At 40.9% G+C, this 22644-nt stretch overlaps 1 protein-coding gene across 1 annotated transcript in view, besides 6 other annotated features; it reads left to right on the top strand.

Moving 5' to 3' along the window:
• Nucleotides 1-22644, top strand: part of LAMA1 (laminin subunit alpha 1) — a 176056-nt gene that overhangs the window by 57376 nt on the left and 96036 nt on the right. Inside the window, exons 4-11 of the mRNA NM_005559.4 lie at nt 9486-9728; nt 11165-11344; nt 14055-14144; nt 15583-15700; nt 17017-17195; nt 18172-18277; nt 20186-20346; nt 21472-21612. Of these exons, the coding sequence (NP_005550.2) occupies nt 9486-9728; nt 11165-11344; nt 14055-14144; nt 15583-15700; nt 17017-17195; nt 18172-18277; nt 20186-20346; nt 21472-21612 (1218 nt within the window). The remainder of the gene's footprint in view (nt 1-9485; nt 9729-11164; nt 11345-14054; nt 14145-15582; nt 15701-17016; nt 17196-18171; nt 18278-20185; nt 20347-21471; nt 21613-22644) is intronic.
• Nucleotides 16473-16674: a silencer, noted in NCBI's record as "fragment chr18:7043747-7043948 (GRCh37/hg19 assembly coordinates)". NCBI's record gives its function as "represses an EF-1alpha promoter that drives an FKBP-Casp9 reporter gene in an ReSE screen in HepG2 liver carcinoma cells {active_cell/tissue: HepG2}" and the evidence as "EXISTENCE:reporter gene assay evidence [ECO:0000049][PMID:32094911]".
• Nucleotides 21076-22275: an enhancer, noted in NCBI's record as "P300/CBP strongly-dependent group 1 enhancer chr18:7038146-7039345 (GRCh37/hg19 assembly coordinates)". NCBI's record gives its function as "activates an origin of replication core promoter dependent on BRD2, BRD4, P300/CBP, MED14 and CDK7 cofactors, with strong dependence on P300/CBP, by STARR-seq in HCT116 cells {active_cell/tissue: HCT116}" and the evidence as "EXISTENCE:reporter gene assay evidence [ECO:0000049][PMID:35650434]".
• Nucleotides 21076-22321: a biological region, named in NCBI's record as "P300/CBP strongly-dependent group 1 enhancer GRCh37_chr18:7038146-7039345".
• Nucleotides 21320-21820: an enhancer, noted in NCBI's record as "H3K4me1 hESC enhancer chr18:7038601-7039101 (GRCh37/hg19 assembly coordinates)". NCBI's record gives its function as "activates a minimal SCP1, AML or CMV promoter by ChIP-STARR-seq in naive H9 embryonic stem cells {active_cell/tissue: H9 hESC(naive)}" and the evidence as "EXISTENCE:reporter gene assay evidence [ECO:0000049][PMID:30033119]".
• Nucleotides 21818-22112: an enhancer, noted in NCBI's record as "tiled region #1572; HepG2 Activating non-DNase unmatched - State 12:CtcfO, and K562 Activating DNase unmatched - State 12:CtcfO". NCBI's record gives its function as "activates a minimal TATA promoter and a strong SV40 promoter by Sharpr-MPRA in HepG2 cells, with weak activation in K562 cells {active_cell/tissue: HepG2 | K562}" and the evidence as "EXISTENCE:reporter gene assay evidence [ECO:0000049][PMID:27701403]".
• Nucleotides 21821-22321: an enhancer, noted in NCBI's record as "H3K4me1 hESC enhancer chr18:7038100-7038600 (GRCh37/hg19 assembly coordinates)". NCBI's record gives its function as "activates a minimal SCP1, AML or CMV promoter by ChIP-STARR-seq in naive H9 embryonic stem cells {active_cell/tissue: H9 hESC(naive)}" and the evidence as "EXISTENCE:reporter gene assay evidence [ECO:0000049][PMID:30033119]".

Genomic DNA, 22644 nt, shown 5'->3' with positions numbered 1-22644 from the left:
ACTGGACAAGGACATATTTTGTTTTGTTTTAATTTTGGGACATGTTTATTTTGCACATCTAATGGTAGCACCAAATTTAAAGAGAAACAAATCACGTTTTATTCTGAAATGTTCTTCTCGTTTATGAAGCTGTTTCTTTTTGTCTGTTGAGTATGCTGCTCCTAAAATGAGATAACAGTTAAAACTGCCAACTGAAATATAATATAAATGACATTTCAAGTAATTGCTCTGAGAAATGTATTTAAAATGTGTATTGCAGACATCCTTCCTTCCCTCTCAGCTCCCTAGCATCTCAGTTTTTGCTAGTTTTTGTTGCCACTTCACGTGCTGATAATTGACTAAGTGCTTTCGTGATTGACACGCTATAAAACTGGAAGTGAGCCATATCTGCATTGGTAATTAGCCTCCTATTAAATCACTGCTTCTTTATTCATGAGTAGTAAGTGTTAATTCAAATGGTCATTTTACATTTCATTCTCTAATAATTTCATGAGACATAAATCTCACAGAGCACAAAATCGCCACTTTCACAGGGATAACTCAGCAATATTATTTATCAAATGCACTTAACTGTTCATCTAAATCTCTTTTGTCTGGGAAAAGTTTATTTCCTTCATGCAAGAGAGAAAACATGCCTTCATTCACTGTTCAGTTACCACCGTGGAGGCAGGTAGGTTCTTTTATGGAGAATTTTCAGACCGGAGTCATGCCTGGTATTGAGCCCCATAGATTTCCTGAGAGCCTGCGGAGAACAGCTGCACTTTCTGTGGAGAGGAGAGGCTTCACTTCTGTCTGCACATGGGAAGTTGACCTCTGATGCTGGAAAATTAGGTTATCTGTATTTTTTAGACATCTGTGCCTGAGATGGATTTAATATATTTAAGTTAAGATTGAGGCCCACATGAACATTCCTGTCTGGATTCCTTTTCAGAAAGTGGCGTTTGATGTGTGCCTACTTTATTTATGTGACACTGTTTATGTGCATTCCAGTGATCATTAACAAAGGCTACTTGGTGGAAAATCGTGATGAAAGTGGATTTAAAAATGGCTGTATCAGCTGCAGGTTTAGCAAGACTACATTGACTCTGAGTCTAGTGAGAACCCCTGCATCATCAATTTGTGTTCAGCCAACCTTAAATCCAGAGAAAAGGCAGTTTAGTCAACCATGCAAAAAAAGGGCAAAAGAAATATTGTGGACTTTATTGGGACAAGGGTTTAATATTCTATATACTGGCCAGGCACAGTGGCTCATGCCTGTAATCCCAGCACTTTGGGAGGCCGAGGCAGGTGGATCACCTGAGGTTAGGAGTTCGAGACCATCCTGGCCAATGTGGTGAAACCTCGTCTCTACTAAAAATACAAAAATTAGTTGGGCATGGTGGCAGGTGCCTGTAATCCCAGCTACTTGGGAGGCTGAGGCAGGAGAATCGCTTGAACCCAGGAGGCAGAGGTTGCAGTGAGTCGAGATTGTGCCATTGCACTCCAGCCTGGGCAACAAGAGAGAAACTTTGTCTCAAAAAGAAAAAAAAAATCTACATACTAACAGACAGTCCTTCAGTTTTTCTACATTACATATAAGACCAATTTGTCAACACATGATTGGTGAATTCGGCCTGTATTAATCAGGTGAGACTGCTGTAACAAGTAGCACCAACTGGACAGCTTAAGCAAGAGACATTAATGTCCTCACAGTTCTGGAGGCTGAAGTCTAAGGTCAAGGTGTCAGCAGAGTCGGTTTCTTCTGGCTCATAGTGGCTTCTTCTCCCTGAGTCCTCACATGGTCTTCCCTCTGTACTGTCTGTGTCCTAATCTGCTTTTCTTATGACACCAGAAATATTCAAATAGGGCCCACTACAATGCCCTCATTTAACTTAATCACCTCTTTAAAGAGCCTATCGCCAGATACAGCCATATTCTGAGCTACTGGAAGTTAGAACTTCAATGTATGACTTTTGCGGGAAACAGTTCAGCCCATAACAGGGCAAAGTGAAGACAAATTGTATTTAGGTTCTTCATAGCACCCTTTGCCTGTTTATCAGACTTACCACTCTCAGGACCCCTAGTTTGTTTCCTGGTCTCCAGTTTGGGGACCTTGAGGACTATTGAGAGATTGTGGGAACAATGGCCCAGCATCCTAAGGAAGTCTTTGATCAAGATAAAAGTTAAGTAACTCCTCCCTTGAGAGCTTGTCCTGAAGTTTTTCACTACGGCTGTTCTTCCATTTAGTATCATTTTCTTATATATGACTAAGCTCTCAGAATAAAAGCTGGCAAAAGGTTGGTAAAATACTGGAACATGGTATTGAAATAATTATGGGCTGGGCCAGGCGCGGAGGCTCATGCCTGTAATCCTAGCACTTTGGGAGGCTGAGACGGGTGGATCACAAGGTCAGGAGTTCAAGACCAGCCTAGCCAAGTTGGTGAAACCCTGTCTCTACTAAAAAAAAAAAATTAAAAAAAATTGGCCGGACGTGGTGGCAAGTGCCTATAATCCCAGCTACTCGGGAGGCTGAGGCAGGAGAACCGCTTGAGCCCAGGAGGTGGAGGTTGCAGTGAGCGGAGATCGCACCACTGCACTCCAACCTGGGCAACAGAGTGAGACTCTATCTCAAAAAAAAAAAAAAGAAAGAAAGAAAGAATTTTGGGCTGGATGCGGTGGTTCACATCTGTAATCACGGCAGTTTGGGAGGCCAAGGCGGGTGGATCACTTGAGCCCAAGAGTTCAAGACCAGCCTGGGCAATATAGTGAGACCCCGTGACTATGAAGAAAATTGAAAAAAATCAGCCAGGCATGGTGTGGCTTGTCTGTGGTTCCAGAGATTTGGGAGGCTGAGGTAGGAGAATCTCTTGAGCCCAGGAGGTCAAGGCTGTAGTGAGCTGTGACCACGCCATTGCACTCCAGCCTGGGTGATAGAGTGAGATCCTATCTCAAAAAAAAAAAAAAAAAAAAAGAAAAGAAAAGAAAAGAAAGAAAGAAATGACACTGGTTAAAGTGAAAGGGTGGAAAAACTGGATTAGGGCTTATCCGTTGTCTCAGCCTGGGATTTCTTTCCTTTTCTTTGCAATATATAGAAGTAGTGCAGCATAGTGCTTAAGAGTACAAACTGCCTGGGTTCAATCCCTGCTGTATACAGTTTAGCACCTGTGAGATCCTGGGAAGATTACCTAACCTTTCTGTGCCCCAATTTCCTCATCTGTAATGGGGGGAAATGACAGTACTTACTTTGTAAGAAGAATGTTGTTGTAAGAATTCAGAGTTGTTGGGGCATGGTGCCTCATGTCTTTAATCCCAGCAGTTTGAGAGGCATGGATCATTTGAGGTCAGGAGTTTCAGACCAGCCTGGCCAATATGGTAAAACCTCATCTCTACTAAAAATACAAAAATTAGCTGGACATGGTGGCGTGCACCAGTAATCCCAGCTACTCCGGAGGCTGAGGCAGGAGAATCACTTGAACCCAAGAGGCGGAGGTTGCAGTGAGCCAAGATCATGCCACTGCACTCCAGTCTGGGAGACAGAGCGAGACACTGTCTCAAAAAAAAAAAAAAATTCAAAGCGTTAACAATCCTAATGAAGCACGTGGTATTGGTACTGGCCACAGTAAGTGCTTCGTGGCATTAGCATTCATTAATCTTTGTTTCTTGCACACTCTCCATCGTGTTCCCCCACCTAACAGAATAACTGGAAGAGCTGCCACTATGCTTAACATATGAACCCGGTCTCCAGGTGAATGTAGGAATCTTTTTGTTTGTTTGTTTCTTGGCATTACAAAAATGAAAGTTCAGTGACCCTAGGTGTGTGTGGACATTTGGGGGCAGGCAGCACGCAGGGTGGCTGAAGGGCTCTGGAGTTGACACCACCTGGTTTCTTTTGGGACCTGCAACTCAGTAGTTTGTTTCTTGACCTCTCTCTTCATCAGTTTCCAAATGTGTAAAATGGGCACAAAAACAATAATGGGGTTGTTTGGGATTAAATGTGATGATATATGTATAAAGCTCTTAACACGCACGTGGTAAACTTGTTAGTTCTTTCCATATTCAAGTGTGAAACTGGAAGACAAAGTAATTACATTCTGTTTCAGATGTCTTTGTAAATGACCTTGCCTTCTCTCCCTCCCCAATGGGCTGCCTGATCACCCTGGCTCATGTGGCGCCTCTGCTTTGTGAAGTCAAGTTTCACAGGTGCAGCAGTAATGGATGGTCACAACCCACATATTGAGTTCAACTTTTATGATGCAAACATTTACAAAACAGTTGGACAGTGATGAGTAGCTATGAGGATGTTCTCCGTTGTCCTCCTTGTCAAAGCCCCGAACACATTATTTCACTTCTGTTTTTTTTTTTTTGGAGACAGTCTCACACTGTCGCCCAGGCTGAAGTGCAGTGGTGCAAGCTCCACTCACTGCAAGCTCTGCCTCCCGGGTTCACGCCATTCTCCTGCCTCAGCTTCTCGAGTAGCTGGGACTACAGGCGTCCGCCACCACGCCCAGCTAATTTTTTGTATTTTAGTGGAGACGGGGTTTCACTGTGTTAGCCAGGATGGTCTCGATCTCCTGACCTCGTGATCCGCCCGCCTCGGCCTCCCAAAATGCTGGGATTACAGGTGCGAGCCACCACGCCCAGGCCTTATTTCGCTTCTAATGTGCTTTAGAAACAGCCATTGTCTTCGAAAGGAAAGTAGCTCATGCTCAGAGATAGCCAAAACATCTGACACACTGAAATCACTCGCAGACTGAAGTCGATTGGAGAATGTTTCTGGCAGGTGGAAAGAGTGACTATAATGAGATAGAATTGTTAGTCCTTATTGATTCTGTGGAATTCCAGAATCAGGGAAAAGAAAAACAAAGAAATAAAACCCAAGAAAATCCAGGCAATAAGACTCAGTAAATTAACAACTTCCTTCCCAAGACATACACATATATGTGTATGTGTGTGTACGTGGGTAAATTTTTTTTTTTTTTTTTTTTTTTTGAGACGGAGTTTCACTCTGTCACCCAGGCTGGGAGTGCAGTGGTGCGATCTTGGCTCACTGCAACCTCTGCCTCCCGGGTTCAAGCAATTTTCTGGCCTCAGCCTCCCAATTAGCTGGGATTACAGGCATGTGCCACTACACCCAGCTAATTTTTGTATTTTTTTAGTAGAGATGGGGTTTCACCATGTTGGCCAGGCTGGTCTCGAACTCCTGACCTCGAGTGATCTGCCCGCCTCGGCCTCCTAAAGTGCTGGGATTCCAGGCATGAGCCACCGCTCCTGGCCTAAATTTTTATATATACATATATATATTTACACACACACACACACACACACACACAGCTGACCCTTGAATAACTTGAGGGTTGGGAGTGCCAACTCCCAAGGCAGTCAAAAAATCCATGAATAACATTTGACTTCCGTAAAAGACTTAACTACTAATAGCCTATTATTGACTTGAAGCCTTGCTGATAACATAAACAGTTACCACATATTTTATGTGTTGTATGTATTGTATTATGTATTATATATGTATTTATGTGTTGTATGTTTATGGTATATTCTTAAAGTAAGCTAGAGAAAAGAAATTGTTATTAAAATTGTAAGGAAGAGACAATACTATATTTACTATTCATTAAGTGGACGTGGATCCATCAAGGTCCTCATCCTTGTCATCTTCACATTGAGTAGGCTGAGGAGGAGGAGGAAGAGGGGTTGGTTTTGCTGTCTCAGGGGTGGCAGAAGCACACAAAAAAATTAGTTTATAAGTGGACCTATGTAGTTTAAACCCGTGTTGTTCAAGGGTCAACTGTACACACACACACGTTTAGAGGTCCATTTACACACATGTATTGCATGGCTATTTTACAAATTAAAAGTACTGGACTTTGGTTTTTAAACAAATCACCCATATCCATCCAGGTTAGAGGAAGTCTGCAGTCAGTAGCAGTTCACCTGGAGAAAGGCATTTTTGTTTTTTGTTGCTTGCTACCCCAACCTGAGTTAGTAATCTAAGTTTACTGTCAGAAAAGTGAATGCTTGCTAAGGCTGAATAACTAAAACAGGGGTGTGATATTTTCACTACGTTCTTGACAATTCAGAAAACATTTAGAGTTCTCTATTCAATTCCTGGGAGCTGCATTTTAAAATAAAGTTGTGTCCAGAGCCTTATGACAAGGCAAGGATGTCTTGTTAAATGATGAATGTTTTCAGGAAACCAGAATACTGAGGATAAAAACGAGAGATTCTGGAGGTGATATATGATAGTTATGTTCAGATACTTGAAGGACAGTTACATGAAAGTGGAATCCAAGATCTTTTCTGCAGCTCCAGCATGTCGAATATTATGGGGGAGCTTGAATCAATGTAAAAAAAAGATTATCTGGCCAGGCATGGTGGCTCAAGGCTGTAATCCAAGCACTTTGGGAGGTCAAGGTGGGCAGACCACTTGAGCCCAGGAGTTTGAGACCAGCCTAGGCAACATAGTGAGACCCTGTCACACAAAAAAATACAAAGATTAGCCAGGTGTGGTGCTGCATGCCACTCTGGAGGCCGAGGTGGGAGGATCACTTGAGCCCAGGAGGTTGGGACTGCCGTGAGCTGATATCGTGCCATTGCACTCCAGCAGCCTGGGCAACAGAGTGAGACCTTGTCTCAAAAAAAAAAAAAAAAAATCCTCTAATGAGGGAGTTGTCATAAAACAAAAGGACTGTCTTAGGAGCTAATGAATTTCCTGTCACTGGAAGTACTTGCAGAAGGCCTGGGGTTTTTGGAGAGGTAATTCCTTCTCAGTTTTAGATTTTGGGCTAGATATCTACCAGGGTCCCTTCCAAATCCAGGATTTGTCTGGCTAGTTTCCTCCCGCTGCTAATAGTCATCTACATTCATTTTTTTTTCCCCCCAGTTTGTTTCCTCATTACTCTGGCTTTTAATTTTTTTCAATTAATAGACATTTTTGGAACAGTTTTCAGTTTGTAGAAAAATGAGCAGAAAGTACGAAGTTCCATACTCCTCACTCTCTCCCTTCCCTCCAGTTGCTCCCACTATTACCATGTTGCATTAGAATGGTACATTTGTTATCATTGATGAGACAATATTGATGCATTATTATTGTTGAGTCCATAGTTTACCTGAGGGTTCCCTCTTGGTGTTGTACATTCTGTGTGTTTAGACAAATGTGTAATGACAAGTTCCCACCATTAGAGTATCATACAGGGTGGTTTCACCGCCCTAAAAATCTCCTGTGCCCCACCTATTCATCCCTCCTTCCCTCACCCTGAGACGCTGGCAGCCACTGATCTTTTTGCTGTCTTCATAGTTTTGCCTTTGACACAGTGTCATACAGTTGGAATCATATAGTATGTAGCCTTTTCAGATTGGCTTCTTTCACTTAGTAATATGCATTTGTTTGTTTATTTATTTATTTATTATTTTTGAGACAGAGTCTTGCTCTGTTGCCCAGGCTGGAGTGCAGTGGCACGATCTCGGCTCACTACAACCTCCGCCTCCTGGGTTCAAGCGATTCTCCTGCCTCAGCCTCCCGAGTAGTCGGACTACAGGCATGCACCACCATACCTGGATAATTTTTTTGTAGTTTTAGTAGAGATGGGGTTTCACTGTATTAGCCAGGATGGTCTCGATCTCCTGACCTCATGATTCACTCTCAGTCTCCCAAAGTGCTGGGATTACAGGCGTGAGCCACCATGCCCAGTCTATCTATTTATTTTTTGAGACAGTTTCTCTCTTGTTGCCCAGGCTGGAGTGCAATGGTTCAGTCTCAGCTCACTGCAACCTCTGACTCCCAGGTTCAAGTGATTCTCCTGCCTCAGCCTCAAAAGTAGCTGGGATTACATGCATGCGCCTCCACGGCCGGCTAATTTTTTTGTATTTAGTAGAGGTGTGGTTTCACCGTGTTGGTCAGGCTGGTCTCGAACTCCTGACCTCAGCTGATCTGCCTGCCTCGGCCTCCCAAAGTGCTGGGATTACAGGTGTGAGCCATGGTGCCCAGCCATTTTTTTTTTTTTGATACAGAGTCTCACTCTGTAGCCCAAGCTGGAGTGCAGTGGTGCAATCTCAGCTCCCTGTAACCTCTGCTTCTGGGGCTCAAGTGATTCTCGTGACTCAGCCTCCTGAGTAGTGGGGACTACAGGCGCCTGCCACCACACGCAGCTAATTTTTTTGTATTTTAGTAGAGATGGGATTTTACCATGTTGCCCCTGGGTGTTCTCAAACTCCTGGGCTCAGGCGATCCACCAGCTTTGGCCTCCCAAAGTGCTGGGATTACAGACATGAACCACTGAACCCGGCCAGTAATATGCATTCGAGGTTTCTTCGTGTCTTTTTGTGGCTTGAGAATTCATTTCTTTTTATCATAATATTCCATGGTCTGCATGCACCATAGCGTGTGTTTCTATTTACCTATTAAAGGACATCTTGGTTGCTTCCAAGTTTTGGCAATGGTGGTGCAAGTTTTCCTGTGGACCTAAGTTTTCAGTTCATTTGGTTGAATTCCCAGGAGCATGATTGCTGAGTATGGTGAGCATTTTTATTACTGAGAATGGTGAGCATGTTTAGTTTTGTAAGAAACTGCCAAACTATTTTCCAAAGAGGCTGTACCTTTTTACATTCACACCAGAAATGAATGAGAGTTCCTGTTGCTCCACATCCTCCCCAGCATTTGGTGTTGTCAGTGTTTTGGATTTTAGCCATTCTGTAGATGTGTAGTGGGCTGACTTTTTTCTCAATTTTAGATGTGTTATCTCCAAATCACTATGAAAAATACTTTTAACACTACTATTAATGTAACATAACACTAGTATCTTTCAAGATCCAAATAAAGACATTGGAAACAAGAACAAGCTCTTATGTTCATATCAATATTGTTAATAATAATAATACTACATATTTATTTGTGAGTACTTTTTGAGTTCATTCTGAAAACAAATGCTACTAGGAGATTATTCACAAGACACATTTCTGATTAACATGTATGAGCAGTTATACTCCAAAGCTTCGATTTTGGCAACCAATGTATACCAGTTCTCTCAAGGTGCACTTTTGTTTTTGAACAGTTGCTACTGATTCTATTTTTTAAAAAAATTATTGTGTATATTTAAGGTGTACAACTTGATTTGATATACATATGCAATGTGAAAGAATCATCACAATCCAGATAATTAATATATTTATCACTTCACATAGTTACCCTTTTGTGTATATGATGAGCATACTTAAGATCTACCCTTTTAATAAATAAATTTCTAGTATACAGTACACTATTGTTACCATCCATTATATCTCCAGAACTTATTCATCTTGCATAACTGAAACTTGGTATGCATTAACCACCATCTCCCTATTCCCCTCTCCTCGCACCTCATGGCAGCCACCATTCTACTGTCTGATTCTAAGTTCAACTATCTTAGATTCTACCTTTAAGTTAGATCATGCAGTAGCTCTCATTCTGTGCCTGGCTTGTATTGATTCTGGATTGAGACTTTTCAGTGTCTTTGTTTCAGGTCTTTCAAGTTGCATATGTCATCATTAAAGCTGCCAATGCCCCTCGACCTGGAAACTGGATTTTGGAGCGTTCTCTGGATGGCACCACGTTCAGCCCCTGGCAGTATTATGCAGTCAGCGACTCAGAGTGTTTGTCTCGTTACAATATAACTCCAAGACGAGGGCCACCCACCTACAGGGCTGATGATGAAGTGATCTGCACCTCCTATTATTCCAGATTGGTGCCACTTGAGCATGGAGAGGTAGGTATGGTGCCCGCTGCAGCAAGATCTGTTTCCTCATCAGAGTCTCCCTGTCTCAGACTCAAAATTGATCTCTCTCAATACAAAGATCTTTAATATAACTATCTAGCTCTATTTAAAGTGGCCTTGAGTCATGTCTATTATAAGTAATTTCACAAACAATATGGTTTACCTTGTTGACTTCCTCTCTTCAAGGAGGCTCTCAGTCTTCACTCTGCTGTGATTTAATAACGCCCTTGGATCCTCCTTCAGAGCATCTTCCCCACAGCACCAGGGCAAGAATGTTTGTTGAAATATTAGAGAGCTAAAATGTCCCCCAAAGTTGTAGTTCCCTTTTCTCAGTGTTCTCCTCGGTAGGTGGTGAGCACTGGAGACTCTTGAAGTCTTGCAGCTTAGTGCCCAACATGCCCAGATTGTATACACTTCCTTGAAGTCAGAGTATAATGAGAAACAGCCCATTCTTTAGTAGCACCTGGCTTGATGAGATGAAACTACAAAAATTCTCCAGTGCTCTTCACAGCGGGAACTCTGCAGCGAGCTGTGAGTTGTTTCAAGGGCAGAGATTAATTAAGACAGCCTGTATCATTCAGGCTTTGTGGACTTTTTCTTTGTTCTTCTCGAAGCCTATTCATAACATTTTAAATTTGCTTCAGAGAAGTTGTAGCCCAGGGACAGATGCTGAAATATTCTAACCACTTGGAGAGAAACGGTCTTCTTAAAAGATTTTCAGCAATAATGCCATAATGTGATGAATGCCGTAGTCTTTGTTCTTCACATTGTAGTCTGGTTCCACATCTGATCTTTGGCAAGTGAGGGTTTTCTTTTATATCAAATTTTAAAGTTTGAGACATAATTTACATTCAGGAAAACATACAGATTTTAAGTATATAGTATATCTGAGACAGTGAAATAGATACCTTCAATAAACTGAAGACATTGAGATCATGGTAATTCACAAGTAATTAACAAATGTTAGACATATTTTTACAAGAAGCTAGTTGTTTTGTTTTGATTTTAGATGGTATCTCTAAAAGATTCTGTCCTGACATTAGACAATCAGGGCTATATTTTTGCATGCTTAAAATTGACATTTGTGGTCAGGTATGGTGGCTCATGCCTATAATCCCAGCATTTTGGGAGGCAAGGCAGGCGGATCACCTGAGTTCAGGAGTTCAAGACCAACCTGGTGAATATAGTGAAACCCTGTCTCTACTAAAAATACAAAAATTAGCTGGGCGTGGTGGTGCACACCTATAGTCCCAGCTACTCGGGAGGCTGAGGCAGGAGAATTGCTTGAACCTGGGAGGTGGAGGTTACAGTGAGCCAAGATTGTGCCACTGCACTCCAGCCTGGACCAAAGAGCGAGACGCCATCTCAAAAAATAAATAAATAAATAAACAATTGACATTCATCTATTTTGATGCCTTCATCTTCAGATTCATACATCACTCATCAATGGCAGACCAAGCGCTGACGATCTTTCACCCAAGTTGTTGGAATTCACTTCTGCACGATATATTCGCCTTCGCTTGCAACGCATTAGAACGCTCAATGCAGATCTCATGACCCTTAGCCACCGGGAACCTAAAGAACTGGATCCTATTGTTACCAGACGCGTGAGTATGGGACGGCAGTCCTGCCAAATAAAATAAAAAGATTCATTTTATTTAAAGGAACTATTATTTTTCTTCTTTCCTTTTTGGTTGTTCTTTCCCCGACATGTTGGCCTTTTTTCTTGCCAGCAGCTGTATCCTTATTTCATGTAAGATTGCTATGTTGTTACAGATGCTGCCTTTAGGTGATGGGCCAAAATCATATCCTTAGGTCCCTCACCCACCCCGTCCCCATAGTGCCATAATGTGGTGAATGCCATGGTCTTTGTTCTTCACATCGTAGTCTGGTTCCACATCTGATCTTCAGCAACTGAGAATTTTCTTTCATATCAAATTTTAAAGTTTGAGACATAATTTACATTCAGGAAAGCATACAGATTTTAAGTATGTAGTTAAGTGTGTAAGACTGGTGTCGCAAAAATTTTCATATCCCTTCAATAACCCAGGAGTGGGATTACTAAGTTATAGGGTAGCTGGATGTTTACCTTTTTAAGAAAATGCTAAACTTATATAAAAAGTAGTTGTATTCAGCTGGGTGTTGTGGCTCACGTGTGTAATCCCAACACTTTGGGAGGCTGAAATGGGAGGGTCACTGAAGCCTGGGAGTTTGGGACCAGCCTGGGCAATAGAGTGAGACCTCAACTCTATTTAAAAAATAAAAATAAAAGTAGTTGTGTCCGTTTTTGTAGTCTGACCAGCAATGTGTGAGAGTTCTGGCTGCACTACACACTGTTAGATATTTAGTGCTATCAGTCATTTTTATGCCCGCTGTTCCTGTGTGCGTGTATTGGCATTTTGTGACGTTAATTTGTGTTTCTCTGCTGACTAATGTTGACAATGTGCTTACTAGTATACGATCAGATTTTTTTTGTCCATTTTTAAATTGGACAAAAAATAAGCCTCCTTGTTACTGACTTATAAAAGAATTTTATATATTTTGTATACGAATCCTTCATCAGATATGTATATATTGCAAACATATCCGTTCTACTTGGTGTTTGCTTATTCACCTTCCTGTGACTTTGGATGAGCAGAGGTTTTGTGACGAATCCCAATTTACCATTTTTTCTTTTATGATTAATGCTTTCTATGACCTCAAAAAATATTAGCTTATCCCAAATTTACCAAGATATCATGGTAGGCTTTCTTTTAGTAGCTGTATAGTTTTAGCTTTTACATCTATAATTCATTTTGTATTAATTTTTGTGATTGGTGTGAGGGAGGAGTCAGAGTTTTTTTTGCTTTTGTTTTTTTTCCTATATGTATATGCAATTGTTCTAGCACCATTTGTTGAGAATGCTTTACTTGTTTTGGGGCCGTTGTTGAAAACTATTCAACCTTATTATTGTGGGTTTATTTCTGGACTCTCTACTGTTCTATAGATCTGTTTGTCTATTCTTGTGCCAATAACAAGCTTTCTTGGTTACTGTAGCTTTACAGTAGGTCTTGAGAGGTCAGGTTTCTTGTATTTCCTTATGAATTTTAGAATCAGTTTGTTAATTTCTGCAAAAAAAATAAAGCCTGCTAAGATTTTCATTGGGATTCCATTGATTCTTTACACCAATTTGTGAAGAATTTTATAAGACATTTTAACAATGTTGAGTCATCCAATCTGTGCACCTGATATATAACTTTTCACTTATCTAAATCTTCTTTAATTCTCTTTGGCAGAGTTTTATTGTTTATTTGAAAAGGTCTTGTTCAATAATGCTCAACAATGTTCAATAATGAAAAAAGAAGGCCGGGCACAGTGGCTCATGCTGTAATCCCAGCACTTTGGGAGGCTGAGGCGGGTGGATCACGAGGTCAGGAGATCAAGACCATCCTGGCTAACACGGTGAAACCCCGTCTCTACTAAAAATACAAAAATTAGCTGGGCGTGGTGGCGCATGCCTGTAATCCCAGCTACTCAGGAGGCTGAGGCAGGAGAATAGCTTGAACCCAGGAGGTAGAGGTTGCAGAGAGCTGAGATCGCGCCACTGCACTCCAGCCTGGGTGATAGACCGAGACTCTGTCTCAAAAAAAAAAAAAAAAAGAAATCAAGGCACACATAGTAAGACTAAACTGTTATTATTTGTAGATGACATGATTATGTATGTAGAAAAGCTACAAAGCAACTACCAGAAATAACAAGTGAATTTAGCAGTGTTGCAGTATACAAAATCAATGAACAAAAATGAATCACATTTTTAGTCACTAGCAATGAACAATGGAAAATGAAATCTAAAAAGAAGTCTATTAACACTAACATGTAAAAACATAGAGAACTGGTGAGTGCATTTCTTCAGAGGAAAGCACTTTGTTCTGTTAATGTGATTTACATTTCTTGATTTTTGTGTGGTAGATTAACTTTGCATTCTAGGGTAACTCTTACTTGTTCATGATCTTTTCTATAGAGTGCTGTATTCAATTTGCCAATTATTTTACGGTTTTCAATAATGAGTTTTGAAACATTACTGACTTGGTTTAAGATGCAGTTGGGGAATTCTTTTAGACTTCTTTGGGTTCTGATGAGCTAATTTGAGCCTAATTTATTTTAATTGAGCACAGGATTCTTTGTGCATGAAATATAATTTTTAAATGTACATGTAATTATATTTTAGATTACCAATAAAAACTCTTAAACTACATGAGATATTTGTTGGTGTGCCAACATTTTCATTTCACTGAAATCTAGGTTTTAATTTTTGTTCATAACTTTCTTTTTCCTTAGTATTATTATTCAATAAAGGACATTTCTGTTGGAGGCATGTGTATCTGCTATGGCCATGCTAGTAGCTGCCCATGGGATGAAACTACAAAGGTGAGTTCTAGTATTTCACATTTTACTAAAACTTCAAAACAGAAATTGTAGCTATAATATTTGCATTACTCTTTTTTATTCCAAACAAACATGAAAGGTATAAAATTATGCTCCAAAAAAACAGATTTTCAGAAATTTAACTTGTGTCATTTTTAAACAATTTCATTTTGCTTTGGAGGATATGTTTCTAATTAAGTTCTTACAATGATTTTTTTATGTGATAAAATATCCCTAACATAAAGTTTACCATTTGAAAGTGTACAGTTCAGTGGCCTTATTAATTTTGAAGCCCTTCTGTCTGTAAGAAAGTAAAAAAAAAAAAAAGTGCAATTATAAATTATGTTTATATTTTTTAGAAGAAAGGTTTTCTCTTCCTATTTTCTCCCCTTCCGTTTTTTTTGGTGCTAAATCAAGATTTAAAAGGGGCATGGTGGCTTACACCTGTAATCCCAGCACTTTGGGAGGCAGAGGCGGGTGGATCACTTGAGGCTAGGAATTTGAGACCAGTCTGGCCAACATGGCAAAACCCCATCTTTGCTGAAAATACAAAAATTAGTGGGGCGTGGTGGTATGCACCTATAGTCCCAGCTACTCGAGAGGTTGAGGCAGGAGAATGGCTTGAACTCGGGAGGTGGAGGTTGCAGTGAGCTGAGATCATGCTGCTGCACTCCAGCCTGGGTGACAGAGCGAGACTCTGTCTCAATAAAAAAATTTAAAAAAAAGATTTAACAGTTTATCTCTTTTAGCATTACATTAAATGAATAATATGACATCTTCTCCTTTTATTTTTTAAAATTTTTATTTATTTAGAGACAGTTTTGCTCTTGTTGTCCATGCTGGAGTGCAGTGGTGCAATCTCGGCTCACTGCAACCTCCGCATCCTGGGTTCAAGGGATTATCTTGCTTCAGCCTCCTGAGTAGCTGGGATTACAGGCACGTGCCACCATGCCCAGCTAATTTTTTGTATTTTTAGTAGAGATGGGGTTTCACCATGTTGGCCAGGCTGGTCCTGGCATCTTCCCTTTTAAAACACTTGCATGAAGTTACTTCTTATTTTCTTCTAATCTTTGTAATTCTTTACCTCTTGAATAGGACTATTCTGTTATCGATGCTGAAAAATCTGTAGATGAACACTAAGAAAATTATTAATAGGAGTTTCTAAACCCTTAATAAGTTCCATGTATATTTTTAAAAAAAGTTTTTATTAGCTAAGTCGTATTCTGGTTTTGCTTTATTCCTCTTCATTTCTGTTTGTAACCAGGTTATTTGTATATATTGGCATCTAAAAATTAAATGCCAGTTTGCTTTGATGATAATCATATATCCTCTGTTGTGAGGTTCTTGCCACATATTTGACAGATAGGTTCTTTTTACCATGAAATTAAGAAACATAAGCAGATACATTTTCTAATTCAGTTTTGGCTTCCTTATTGTGTAGAAACTGCAGTGTCAATGTGAGCATAATACTTGCGGGGAGAGCTGTAACAGGTGCTGTCCTGGGTACCATCAGCAGCCCTGGAGGCCGGGAACCGTGTCCTCCGGCAATACATGTGAAGGTCAGTATACTTAGAATCTGAAGGTCAGTACAGTTTTCCTCTTAATACGTCCCAAGTTTATGGTGTCTTAACAACTTTTATAGTTAGCAGGTAACTTGTTTTCTTAGAAATTTAAGTAGTTTCCAAAGCTGCAGATGACCTTAAAATTTTAACTATTGTGGCCTAAATGTATCTTTATGGGTTTGCTGTTTTATCTATGAGTCCCCCTTCCCGTATAGTCTATTATTCTGTATTAATTTTACTTTTGTTTTTGTTTTTTTACCATGGGATATGCCAGGTTGTATATTCTGTATTGATTTGGATTTAAGTTTTAAATAAGCAATATATTCACAAGATTCCTAGATCTAACAATATGTAAAAGTATGTAGTTAAAAGCATGACTTCCACTTCATCTCCCTCCTTCGCACTTTTTATTGTTTTCTAGTATGTCCTTCCTAAAATTGTTATGCATATAACGCATATGTTAACATATCCCTCCAGCCAACACAGTTCTTACGCAGAAGACAATGTACTATGCATGCCATTGTACATATCGCTTTTTTTTTTTTTTTTTTTTTTTGAGATGGAGTCTCACTCTGTCACCTACGCTGGAGTGCAGTGGCGCGATCTCGGCTCACTGCAACCTCTGCCTCCCAGGTTCATGCTTCATGCCATTCTCCTGCCTCAGCCTCCTGAGTAGCTGGGACTACAGGTGCCCACCACCACACCCGGCTAATTTTTTTGTATTTTTAGTAGAGACGGGGTTTCACTGTGTTAGCCAGGATGGTCTCCATCTCTTGACCTCGTGATCCGCCCGCCTCGGCCTCCCAAAGTGCTGGGATTACAGGCGTGTGCCATGGCGCCCAGCCCACATCGCTTTTTATATTTAACAATGTATTGTGAAATTCTTTCCATATTAGCAATTAGAAATGCTGTTTTTAAAAACAGTTGCACAGAATTCCATTATACAAATGTAGTATAATTTATTAAACAACCACCTATCGGCGGTTATTTTGATGGTTATTAGTCTGTTGTCCACACAAACAATGGTGCAGTGATTAACCCTGTATGTGTCCTTCTCAAGTGGGCAAGTACTTCTGCGAAATATAATCCCAGGAGATGGTTTGCTGGGTCAAATGGGTATGTGCATTTATTATTTTGATATTAATAGCTCTTCCCAATTGTCCTCCATAATACTGCCCATATCTTATTAAAATTACTTATTCTAGGATTTTAATTTAATCTAAAATCATAGAACTTACTTAGGGAGGTTAAGAGTTTTCTTTGTATAAGGCATGCTATGTAAATTAATTGAGATGTTAAAAATATTCTCCTAGCATGTAATTGTCACAATAAAGCCAAAGACTGTTACTATGATGAAAGTGTTGCAAAGCAGAAGAAAAGTTTGAATACTGCTGGACAGTTCAGAGGAGGAGGGGTTTGCATAAATTGCTTGCAGAACACCATGGGAATCAACTGTGAAACCTGTATTGATGGATATTATAGACCACACAAAGTAAGAGTATTTCTTTGCCATTGCTGATCTTCATCATCTTCCCCAGGTGGAAAAGAGACTTTGTCAAGTCTTAACCTCTGTATTGGAGACTTTTGTAATATTTCATTTATATCCTTGTTATGCCAGTAGTGTTTTTATATATATATTTCCTACTCTATCCTGCTTTTCTTGCTCAAAATAAGATGTCAGTCATTGTTATTTATCTTGAATTCAGGGGTCCATTAGCTATGTAATCCTGGGTCATAATACTAACTACAGATGTGAAAATTCAGCTATAACTAAAGCAGCTGTCTCTTGCCTGTAGGAGATGTTCAGCCAATCTTTTTTTTTTAATTTTTATTTTTTGAGACGGAGTCTCGCTCTGTCGCCAGGCTGGAGTGCAGTGGTGCGATCTCGGCTCACTGCAACCTCCACCTCCCGGGTTCAAGCGATTCTCCTGCCTCAGCCTCCCGAGTAGCTGGGATTACAGGCATGTTCCACCACACCCAGCTAATTTTTGTATTTTTAGTAGAGACAGGGTTTCACCATGTCGGCCAGGATGGTCTCAATCCCTTGACCTTGTGGTCCGCCTGCCTTGGCCTCCCAGAGTGCTGGGATTACAGATGTGAGCCACCACGCCTGGCCGTGTTCAGCCAATCTTTAATTGACTTGATATGTAGTTCTTACATGAGTCCTTGTGGTGTCCTGGTTATAACGTGGCTCTGAGAGACAGCAGCGCGAGGGGGGCTGGAGAGCAGGGATAATAGAAAAAGATGACACTTTGCTAAGGGTACTAACTACTGCCACCATCAAAAAGATGTTTGGGCTTCCTGGCTTGGGATCATCTTATCTTCCTCAAACCTAACCCCCACCCCCATGCACAAAATCATCGTAATAGTCCCATCTTGAGTAAAAAGCCAATACCTTCTTATTTATACTATTGCCAACATTGCTGTTATTTCTAGTAAGAGAATCCAGGGCAACCTCTGCCTTTCAGGTGTCTCCTTATGAGGATGAGCCTTGCCGCCCCTGTAATTGTGACCCTGTGGGGTCCCTCAGTTCTGTCTGTATTAAGGATGACCTCCATTCTGACTTACACAATGGTAAGTACTTGATTCACTTTTGTGCTTGTAATTGATTTTGTGTGTGTGTGGAAGATTTGCACATACTGGAACTAATGGTAATAGCCAGTTGGTAACATGATTATTGATTCTTTTGTTCACCAAGTACGTATCAAGCACCTACTATGTGTCAGGCAGTTTTTGAGGACCTGGGAATGTGTACTTAACAAGGTAGTCAAAGTCCTTGCTCACAAAAACACTAAACAAACAGGTACATGGGTAATATAATGCCAGGTCGAGAGGTAGTGTCATGGACATAAAGCAAAATTAGGACTCATGAATGGAGGGAGATGGGGTAATGAGGTGACAATGTTGGGGTGATGAAATGACATTTGAGCAGATAATTGAGCATTTGGTGAAGGAAGAAATAAGGCCCAGTTTAAAGCCATGCGTGGAACACAGTAAATAGCAATTGCTCTCCTTAGCTTTTAGAAGACATTTGGAGGGCTTTTGCATAAATCATCTCACAGATCAAGCAAGTCCTCCCATTAACTTGGTAAATGTCAGAGTTCTCTTTCCGTTTCAAAAACTGGCAAATTGACTTGCAAATACCAGAGTCTCCTGAATAGGTTGCGTCTGTTCAAAGACTCTTGTGACCCCATCAAGTTCTCAGCCACTGGCAGTTAAAATGGATATCGACCAGTAGGGATGGGTGGGCCCCCCAGCGATGGGGAGGGTAAATTACCCAACTGAATTGATTCTTACGTGCACCTGGTGAGGGGATGATGACGATGATAATAATGAAGATGATGATGGTGATAGTGGTGGTGACATTTACCCTCAATTGAGTTCATTTAAAAAAATATATCATTTAAACTTTGCAACCATAGCAGATAGAAATTACTTAACCCACTTTGCTGTAGCTCAGAGCAGTCAAGAAGGTTAACTGCCTGAAGGTTTCAAAACTGACATTAAAAGCAAAGATAGTGCTTGCTGCTCTCTGCCACTTGCCTCTGTGCTTTTTTTTTTTTACAAAACAGTTTTATAATTTACAACGATACAGTTCTCCCATTTGAAGTCTACAATTCATTGTTTTGGTGTATTGGTGCAACCATCACCACAATCTAAGAGTCGAACATTTTCATCATCCCATAAAGAAGCCCCTTACAAACTAGCTGTCACTTCTTACTTTCCTCCAGCCCCTTCTCCCGGCCCCTGGCAATCGTTAATTACCTTTTTCTTTGCAGATTTACCTATTCTGAACTTAGAAATGGAACCATATATGTTGGTTTTTGGTGACTGGCTTCTTTCATTTAGTATAATGTTTTCAAGGTCATCCGTGTTGTACCATGTATCAGTATTTCAACCCTTTTTATTACCAAATAATATTTCATAGTATGGACATACCATGTTTCATATATCCATTCATCAGTTGATGAACATTTGAATTGTTTCTACTTTGGGGCCATTATGAACAATGCTACTAGGGACTTTTGTGGGTGTATGTTTTCATTATTTTATTGGGTGTTTACTTAGGAGTGCAGTTGCTGGATCTTATGGCAACTCTATAACTTAACATTTTGAAGAAGTGTCAAAAGGTTTTCCAAAGTCACTCTACCATTTTATATTCCCAGCTCCCTCCACGGGTTTCATCTCTGTTTTCTTTCTTTAAACAAGGAATTGGCAAACTATGGCCCATGGGCCAAATCCAGCACACTGTCTGTTCTTATGAATAAAGTTTTATTGGAATGGAGATATAGCCATTTGCCTGTGTATTCTCTATGGCTGTGTTCGAACAATAATGGCTGAGCTGAGCAGCTGCAAATGAGACTCTGAGGCCAAAAAGCCTAAAATAGATACCCTCTGACCCTTTACAGAAAACATTTGCCAACCCCTGCTTTAAACCTCTTTTGCCTTCATGTTGGGTCATTGCCATTGTTGTCTTTCTAGGGAAGCAGCCAGGTCAGTGCCCATGTAAGGAAGGTTATACAGGAGAAAAATGTGATCGCTGCCAACTTGGCTATAAGGATTACCCGACCTGTGTCTCCTGTGGGTGCAACCCAGTGGGCAGTGCCAGTGATGAGCCCTGCACAGGGCCCTGTGTTTGTAAGGTAAGTGGGGAGGTCAGAGACACCCCTGAGCTTCCTTTGAGCTTCTCTGGAAAAGGAGTGTTTTCCATTGGCTCCAATGATCAGTTCTTGAGCAAAGTGGTAAGGTTTAAGCAGAACTCCCCTTGCCCCTTCTCTCCAAGCCACACCGAGTTGGCTGTATTATATATGCTTGGACTCACATGGGCATCTGGCTTCTTTTTTTGTACCTCTGGTAATGGTGATATATTCCAGAGGCATTTCTGTGACTTCTTAGAGGACACCAAACACTGCATACCTTTATATTCCCACCTCCTCTGTGGGCCTCATCTCTGTTTTCTTTCTTTAAACCAGGACTTGGTAAACTATGGCTCGTGGGCCAAATCTGACACACTGCCTGTTTTGTGAATAAAGTTTTATTGGAACAGAGCTGTATCCATTTGCTTATGTATTTTCTATGACTATGTTCAACCAATAAAGGCTGAGTTGAGTAGTTGCAAAAGAGATGCTGTTGACCCCTAGCTTAATTCTATGGTATTCTTTTCCAGCTTTGTATTCGGAAGAGAACCAGATTAACATTAAATTTCTGAGAACACCAATTAAACGCAGATATGCTATTTTGAGTGTCTGTTAAAAAGGAGTTGAATAGTCATAAGAAATGCATTAATATGGTGCCAGTGAGGGGTTTTATTTGGCCTTACAATATTAATAACAATTTCTTCATAATTCATAGGACATTCCATTGTACCTATGTGCTTATTCCCACCTGTGCAGTCTTAGGCACATGTTATATACTACTGGAAATAATCTTGAGCATTTATGAATAAGAGAAAATTCTATAGCTCTCTTCAGATTTTGAAATGCTGGAAAGATCAGTAAAAAAATGAAAAATTTAAAACAAAACAAAACAATTTAAATGGAATGACCGAGTTCTAAGATCTCCAGCCTTGTTCTTGAGTACAAAATCAAATTATATATAATTCAAAATCTCTATTCTGGAAATATTGACTTTATGAGGCCTCACCTTTACTTTGGACGTTTATTCACCTGTCTCTGTGGATCACCGAACACCTATCTTGTTAATGTCATTTTATTCTCTCTGGACAGACACATTGGTTTCAAAAGCTAATCTTTTACCCTAACTTACAGGAAAACGTTGAGGGGAAGGCCTGTGATCGCTGCAAGCCAGGATTCTATAACTTGAAGGAAAAAAACCCCCGGGGCTGCTCCGAGTGCTTCTGCTTTGGCGTTTCTGATGTCTGCAGCAGCCTCTCTTGGCCTGTTGGTCAGGTGGGAGGCGCCATCTGCGCGGCGGGATTTAATGAGCAGGTCGTATTGCACAAGCTTGGCACGAGCTGTGTGAGGAGGAAATGAGGATGACTTCCCGTGACACCACTCTCATCGCTATGCAATGATACTGACGTGGGTCAAAGGCAGCCGTCTGCCTCTCAAGATTCTTTATAGGTCATGTGCTTACTCCCACACACATTTCTCTATGGAAAAAACAGGATGATGTGGCACTAGAGAACACGTCTTGTTTCAATTTCTTCTGTGGGGAAATGGATTGGGTGGGGAGGTCGGCTCTCCCTCCGCCCGCCCCTGCTGCTCTCAGGCCTGGGAGCCCAGAGGGCCGTGGGGCCATGGGGATTTTCCAGCTCAAAGACGCTAAGGAGTAGGAGGCCCTCCAGTGGCGAGGGTGGGAACAGCGGCACGTGGTGCAGGGTTTAGGAATGCAGGCCAAGTTGTTTCCGGAACAGGGAGTTCTGGGGTGATGGGTTCAACAGGGGTGTCCAGTGGTGGCTAGGAGAGGTGGAGATGGTGTGATGGCTGCAGGCAAGGGAGGAGCTGCTCGGTAGGGACTTACCCAGCAGTGACTGCTGTGGACACCACGCTGGGGGGAGTACCATCACCTCTATGTCGGTGACGCATTGGGAGTATAAGATCTAGAGGTTATCTTTGTACATTTTTCAACATTTGGGTAAAAAGCAGGGGGCAACGAAGAAGAGGGAGTCAGACTTAGCAAGAGACATTTTGCTGAATGCATTTATGATGTTCTTTGTTGTTTTAAATCTAAAATCTATACCCATGGCCTTTATGGTTTTGCTCATTTATTTGCTTATACTGGATCTGGATTTGGAGTAGTGAGACTTGTTCTCAGGTCCTCCTGGTCCTTTACAAGTGGAAGGGTCAAGGGTCATGAGGTTCAGCAGCCACAGGTGTTATGTTAATGCCATCCCTAGAGAAGCTTTCTGGCCCATTTCTTCATTGTGAAAATATTACTGCTGCACTGGGTGAAATCTAAGGTAAGTTCTATTTCATACT

This window comes from Homo sapiens, chromosome 18 (genome assembly GCF_000001405.40).
Source record: "Homo sapiens chromosome 18, GRCh38.p14 Primary Assembly".
NCBI lineage: Eukaryota > Metazoa > Chordata > Mammalia > Primates > Hominidae > Homo > Homo sapiens.
Note: the sequence above shows the minus strand (reverse complement) of the source record. Positions and strands in the feature narration are given on the sequence as shown.